The sequence below is a fragment of the Homo sapiens genome, chromosome 1, assembly GCF_000001405.40.
Source record: "Homo sapiens chromosome 1, GRCh38.p14 Primary Assembly".
NCBI classification, from domain to species: domain Eukaryota; kingdom Metazoa; phylum Chordata; class Mammalia; order Primates; family Hominidae; genus Homo; species Homo sapiens.
The window spans coordinates 13,389,332-13,396,422 of record NC_000001.11 but is presented as its reverse complement, the minus strand read 5'-3'; the positions used below and the strand labels follow the sequence as shown (position 1 = coordinate 13,396,422).

The 7,091-nt window shown below is 50.4% G+C and overlaps 1 protein-coding gene across 1 annotated transcript; it reads right to left on the bottom strand.

Annotated features, from left to right (window-relative positions):
• Positions 1–3,793: 3,793 nt before the first annotated feature.
• Positions 3,794–6,791, bottom strand: PRAMEF17 (PRAME family member 17). The gene is made up of 3 exons (NM_001099851.3): positions 6,479–6,791; positions 5,504–6,082; positions 3,794–4,479 (listed from the first exon to the last, which is right to left on the bottom strand). Exons 1-3 carry the CDS (start codon positions 6,763–6,765, stop codon positions 3,921–3,923), a joined length of 1,425 nt encoding a protein of 474 aa, NP_001093321.1. The 5' UTR covers positions 6,766–6,791; the 3' UTR covers positions 3,794–3,920.
• Positions 6,792–7,091: the final 300 nt, after the last annotated feature.

Sequence of the window (7,091 nt, the reverse complement as noted above, 5' to 3'; positions counted from 1 at the left end):
GCAGTGAGCTGAGATCGCACTACTGCACTCCAGCCTGGGTGACAGAGGAAGACTCCATCTCAAAAAAAAAAAAAAAAAAAAAAAGAAAAAAAAAAGAAAAGAAAAGAGAAGGGGATGGTTAATGGGTACAAAAATGCAGTTAGGTAGGAATAAGATCTAGAGTTCAGTAGCACCATAGGGCAACTCATGTTGACAATAGTTCATAGTAAATTTCTACATAATTAAAACAATGGAATTGGAATGTTGCTTACACAAAGAAATGATAAATTCTTGAGATGGTGAAAACCTGTGTTACCCTGATTTGAACATTACACATTTTACGCTTATATCAGAATATCAGGCCAGGTGCTGTGGCTCATGTCTATAATCCCAGCACTCTGGGAGGCCGAGGCGGGTGGATTACCTGAGGTCAGGAGTTCAGGACCAGCCTGGACAACCTGGTGAAACCCCATCTCCACTTAAAATACAAAAATTAGCCAGATGTGGTGATGGGCTCCTGTAGTCCCAGCTACTCAGGAAGCTGAGGCAGGAGAATTTCTTGAACTCGAAAGGCAGAGGTTGCAGTGAGCCGAGATTGTGCCATTGCACTCCAGCCTGGGTGACAGAGGGAGACTCCCTCTCACAAAAAGAAAAGAAAAGAAAAGAACATCAGATGTACCCTGTAAATATGCACGAGATTTATATATCCACAATAATTTTAAAATTAGAAAAATAGCCTCCCTCTCCCTCTCCCTCTCCCTCTCTTTCCACGGTCTCCCTCTGATGCCGAGCCGAAGCTGGACTGTACTGCTGCCATCTTGGCTCACTGCAACCTCCCTGCCTGATTCACCTGCCTCAGCCTGCCGAGTGCCTGCGATTGCAGGTGCGCGCCGCCACGCCTGACTGGCTTTCGTATTTTTTTGGTGGAGATGGGGTTTAGCTGTGTTGGCCGGGCTGGTCTCCAGCGCCTAACGGCAAGTGATCCGCCAGCCTCGGCCTCCCGAGGAGCCGGGATTGCAGACGGAGTCTCGTTCACTCAGTGCTCAATGGTGCCCAGGCTGGAGTGCAGTGGCGTGATCTCGGCTCCCTACAACCTCCACCTCCCAGCCGCCTGCCTTGGCCTCCCAAAGTGCCGAGATTGCAGCCTCTGCCCGGCGGCCACGCCGTCTGGGAAGTGAGGAGCGTCTCTGCCCGGCCGCCCATCATCTGGGATGTGAGGAGCCCCTCTGCCTGGCTGCCCAGTCTGGAAAGTGAGGAGCGTCTCTGCCCGGCCGCGATCCCATCTAGGAAGTGAGGAGCGCCTCTTCCCGGCTGCCATCCCATCTAGGAAGTGAGGAGCGTCTCTGCCCGGCCGCCCATCGTCTGATATGTGGGGAGCGCCTCTGCCCCGCCGCCCCGTCTGGGATGTGAGGAGCGCCTCTGCCCAGCCGCCCCGTCTGAGAAGTGAAGAGCCCCTCCGCCCGGCAGCCGCCCCATCTGGGAAGTGAGGAGCGTCTCCGCCCGGCAGCCAACCCGTCTGGGAGGGAGGTGGGGGGTCAGCCCCCACGCGGCCGGCCGCCCCGTCCGAGAAGTGGGGGGCGCCTCTGCCCGGCCGCCCCTACTGGGAAGTGAGGAGCCCCTCTGCCCGGCCACCACCCCGTCTGGGAGGTGTACCCAACAGCTCATTGAGAACGGGCAATGATGACAATGGCGGTTTTGTGGAATAGAAAAGGGGGAAAGGTGGGGAAAAGATTGAGAAATCGGATGGTTGCTGTGTCTGTGTAGAAAGAAGTAGACATGGGAGACTTTTCATTTTGTTCTGTACTAAGAAAACTTCTTCTGCCTTGGGATCCTGTTGATCTATGACCTTACCCCCAACCCTGTGCTCTCTGAAACATGTGCTGTATCCACTCAGGGTTGAATGGATTGAGGGCGGTGCAAGATGTTTTTGTTAAACAGATGCTTGAAGGCAGCATGCTCCTTAAGAGTCATCACCACTCCCTAATCTCAAGTACCCAGGGACACAAACACTGCGGAAGGCCGCAGGGTCCTCTGCCTAGGAAAACCAGAGACCTTTGTTCACTTGTTTATCTGCTGACCTTCCCTCCACTATTGTCCTATGACCCTGCCAAATCCCCCTCTGCGAGAAACACCCAAGAATGATCAATTAAAAAAAAAAAAAAAGAAAGAAAAATAGTAAGACTAGGCATGGTGGCTCATGCCTGTAATTCCAGCACTTTGGGAGGCCAAGATAGGAGAAATACTTGAGTCTAGGAGTTTGAGATCAACTGGGACAACACAGTGAGCCCAGCTTCACCTCAGTGAACCATCAGAGAGCTTCCTGGCCCACAGGGGCAAGTTCCAAAGAGATTCTCAAGGCAGCCCAGGAATGCTGCCTACAGGTCAGTGCCCTGGTCTCTTGTGTTTCTTGATAAGGAGAGAAGGGAGATGTTATAGGAAGATATCTCATTGGTATGAATTAGCTTTCCAAAGATGTATTTTTCTATTAATGTGGACTAGAAATATTTAGAATATGTAATATGCATTTTTCTAAAAGGGAAATTGGACACAACCACTTTAATTCAGTGAAGCCCACCAGCCACCTTGAGGACAGGCAAGGGTTGGTGATGTCATGAGGCTCCTGCAATACACACTATGGCCATTCCCTTCAAGGTCAGGGGGCAGCCCGTGGTGCAGTGAAGCCATTTCCTGGCATGGCCAAAGATCAGGAATGGATTCCTCTGGATCTGTCCATTAGGAGTGAGCAGGGTCTCAGTATCTGGGGAGCAGTGAGGGCCCTTGAGAAGAGGGTAGATTTCAGTGGCTCATCATCACTGCCCACACAGAATGTTCCAGGCCCCAAGTGTGCATCCTTTGTAAATGAACCCAGTGAACAGGCATGGGAGAAAGTAAGGAAGAAACAGATGACTGAAGGGAAGTAAAAAATGGGTGAGAATTAATCAAAATGATCACATTTCAGTTTTGATGCCTTGATTTGCTGCAGCTGAACCTCGATCACAGATGATGTAGTATCTCTCATCAGTAACTAGAGATTTCTGATGTATAAATGTCTAAAACAGGTTGATCAATCATGGAAGACACCAGAAAGTTTCCATTCAGATTCCATTTATTTTTGACATTTTTACATAACCATCCTTGTGAGGGTAACTTCTGCATCACTCAAGAACTTCAGGTTCCATTTCTGAGTCTAGGAAACAGGTCCCTGAAGGCCTCATCGATGCCAAGTCAGCATTTTCACCCAGTCCTGCCCCCAGCTGAGTCACCTTTGTTTTCCCACTCACAGTCAGCACGTGCCTGAAACACATGACCGTGTGCTTCCTTTAAGATGCACCTGACCGGGCCCGGCTGCTCATGCCTGTAAACCCAGCACTGTGGAAGGCCAAGGTGGTCAGATCACTTGAGGTCAGGAGTTCGAGGCCAGCCTCCTCCAACATCGTGAAACCCTGTCTCTACTAAAAATACAAAAATTACACTTTGGGAGGCTGAGGTGGGTGGATCACGAGGTCAGGAGATCGAGACCATCCTGGCTAACACGGTGGCACCTGTAGTCCCAGCTACTCTGGAGGCTGAGGCAGGAGAATGGCGTGAACCCAGGAGGTGGAGGTTGCAGTGAGCCGAAATCACACCACTGCACTCCAGCCTGGGCAACAGAGCAAGACTCTGTCTCAAAAAAAAAATACAAAAAAATACAAAAATTAGCTGGGTGTGGTGGCACACGCCAGTAACACCAGCTACTAGGGAGGCTGAGGCAGGAGAATCACTTGAACCTGGGAGGTGGAGGTTACAGTGAGCTGAGATTTTGCCACTGCACTTTAGCCTGAGGGACAGAGCGAGACTCCATCAAAAAAAAAACAAAAAAACAAAAAAACCCACCTGTGTCCTAGATTTTAGTGCCTAAGGGTCCTGAAGAAAGCATATCCATCCCACTAATCAGGCCTTCACTAAGAGCAAAGATGGAAGTCCACTTTCTCAGATGGCCATGAGCCACAGGAAGGGCAGGGGATGGGACCAAAAAAGATCCTCTTGGGCTGCCTGACTTCCCTGAGTGTACACATCAGCTCAGCCCGAATTGGGGCGAGGATCTCCCAATTGACATGACCCCTGTTGTCAAGACACTCCAGAGGGGCAGGATACAACTCCAGACCTAACTTGCTCAGCCCACCTGTGTGACACAGCAGGTCTTTCAGAGCATTCGTGGAGGTCTCATTTCCGCGAAAGTAGAAGGTGGTGAGCTGGGAGCAGCGGCTCAGGGCAGGCAGGAGGACCCTGAGCTGGGAGTCCTGGATCTGACAGTCCTTTAACGTGAGGATCTCGAGAGTAGCAGCAACTTTCTCTAGCAGAGCTCCAAGGGGCTCAAGATTGGTAGTCCACATTAGGATATGAATCAGATGCAGCTCCTTTAGCTGACTGAGGCTTGGGTACTGAGACAGACACTCCATGTCCTGATCAGCTAGGTAAGCATGACAGAATATAAAGGTTCCCAAGGGGTTCTTGAGGCACCTGGGGAGAGCAAGAAATTAGTTATGGGCAATGGTGCCAGTTGGAGGAGGGGGGTGGGAAATCATCTCAATGGTAAACTTGAAGTGGGCATTGAGTAATTCTGCACCTTACTACCACACAGGTGTTGTAGTAACCTGCAATGGGGAAGCCTGTTTCACTCAAACACAAGTTTGTTCCCATCATCAGATGATGGTCTGCGTGCAAGGTGCTGCCTGATGAAGACCCAGATCATTCAGGGGCAGCTCCATTTTAGGCTCAGTCCTTTCAGCCTTGCTTGTGTGATTAGTTCAAGGCCACAAAATCTTTAAAGCCTCTTTACTTTATCTTTCAGGAGACAACCTCAGCTCTGGGCCAGAGGAGCCCAGTGGGAGAAGTGCACAAAGAACTCAACTGAGCAAGGTCTAGGGACATCTGCTAGGACCACCTGCCTGCAAAGATTCCCTGACATGCCCGTGTCTGCAAACCACCTATCACTTTATACCACTCTCCTGCCTACTCCCTCACCTCTGTCCAAGAAGCATGCTTTTCTCATGTCAACTACTTTTCCTGGGGTTCAAAAGAACCTTTTACAGACAGGGAATTAGAGACAGGTTCATTGGTGTTTACTAAGCTGTGAGGACGGAGCTTCTGCTGTGAAACACGCAGGTTTGATGCACTTTCCCTTCTTTCATACTCTCCTCTATATGAAGAATAAGTTTCATCATATTAACTTCAAACACACTTCCTAAAAAGGAATTCACAAATGCACCCTCCCTAGATCTGAACCCCTGACTAACTAGCTCCCTGCATGTCTCTCTCTGTAGCATCTGCCCCGGGCCATCCCTCCGCCCTTATTTGAGCGGGCTTGTGATACCCACTTCAGGATATAGAGCACTGAACAGCATAATGAGTTGACATTCTAGCGTCCCATTCCCTGTGACATCACCAGTGGCTGGCACACAGTAGATGCCCACTAGCGTTTACTGTGAAAAAGAACAAAAGTCTGTGGTATGGTCTGCAGAGAAAGCTCACCATCCTTTCTTACCTGAGCAGGTGCTCCAGGTGCTCTTTGATATTACTGATCTTTCTTATATAAAGCATCTGAGGGTAGTACAGGCAGAGGAATGGACAGTCCAAGTCAGGAACGAACTGCTGTTGGCCGCTTACATATAACTCATCGTCATAACCGAAGGCTAAAAAGAGTTTGCGAAGATTGCTCATCTGGCTCAAGTAAGGGGCAAACTTTCCTGTTTTATTCAGAGAGCACTTTCTCTTAATTTCCAACTCCTGGATACTGTCTGGGTATACCCTTTTCAATAAATTTCTGAAACTTGAAGTGGGCATTGAGTAATTCTGCACCTTATTACAACACAGGTGCACTAGACCTCTTCTGTAGTGGATCCACCTGCAGAGGTAGCTCAGGCATTCATCCAGTGTACTTTCCTTTTGGCAGAGGTCTATGAACACCTTCAAGGGCTGGTGCTCTCCCGTCCTTGGATAGTCCTCCACTGTCTGCCTCTTACTCATGGCCTCTGGGGAGCAGGAGAGGGCCCTGGCTCCAGACCATATAGTCCAGAAATTCCCATCAACATCCCGCAAATCCAGCACTTGAAGTTTCCACCTCCTGTGAGTAACATAGGGGAAAAGCTCAGAATGTAGGCAAAGACCCACCCCTGACCTGAGCTTTCACTCAACATCCAGGACATCAGTCAGCTGCTCCTGTCCTCAGTGCTCCTCCTTCTGTCTCTTCTCCATCCCGCTCCCCCTTGGATTCTGCCTGGTTCTCACTTCTAGAACCTTTACCTTCCACTGGGAGGAAGCAGGTTCCTGTTTCCTCAGTGGACCCTGTATGGTGAGCAGTCCTTTTCCAGAGGATCTGGGCAATGGTCAAGGTCTCTCATGGGCACCATCAGAAGCCTCTGAGCCACCCTAGCTCCCCAACCCCACCACTCCTCCTGAGCCAGCTGTCCCTTCCCTGGATGCCTGGACCCTTCCCACCAGGCCACCTGAGTCACCTCACCTGGGGCGAAGCTTCTGGGCCAGCAGTGTATCAAGTCCCTTCAGCACAGCTTGCAAGGTCTCCAGATGAGGTGTCTTCATCAGGGATCCCAGAGGGAGGCGGAGGAAGGGCCAGGCCTGCACCATCAGCTTCAGGGCCTCAAAATGTCTCATGCTGGAGGCCTCCATGAACATCAGAGGGAAGACCTCCCTGGGCAGCTCGTCCAGGATGAAGATGGTCAAGAACTGGTTCCTCAGCAGGCTCTGGCCTGCCAGCTCCAGGAGTCTGGATGGGGACTGGAGGCTCATTCTGACAAATCTCCAGTGAAAAACTCTAGAGGACAATCCAGTGAAAAGGCAAGTTTCTCAGGCCAATCCCCTGCAACCCCCACTTCTCCTAGGGCCAAAGTCAGTTCTCTAGCATGTGTGAAAGGGCCCTCAGTTTACTCCAATTCCATTCTGCAATAAGTGGCCACAGAGGCATAGTTCTGCCCTTCTGGTACCAAGAAGAGTGTGTCCCAACCTCTAAAGAGCAGGCAAGATCCCTCCTATAGGGTCCATGAATTATTAGCCACTGCACCACTACACTGATAGCACTGGGAAGTGTTACCAAGGATCTTTGAAGCTCAGATCTC

Bases quoted from the DNA above. Each gene is read 5' to 3' on its own strand.
- PRAMEF17 (NM_001099851.3), bottom strand. From the start codon at position 6,765: ATGAGCCTCCAGTCCCCATCCAGACTCCTGGAGCTGGCAGGCCAGAGC. The intron at 6,083-6,478 runs GTGAGGTGACTC...TGTTACTCACAG, and splicing joins GCCCAGAAGCTTCGCCCCAG to GAGGTGGAAACTTCAAGTGC. The intron at 4,480-5,503 runs GTAAGAAAGGAT...TGCTCTCCCCAG, and splicing joins CACCTGGAGCACCTGCTCAG to GTGCCTCAAGAACCCCTTGG.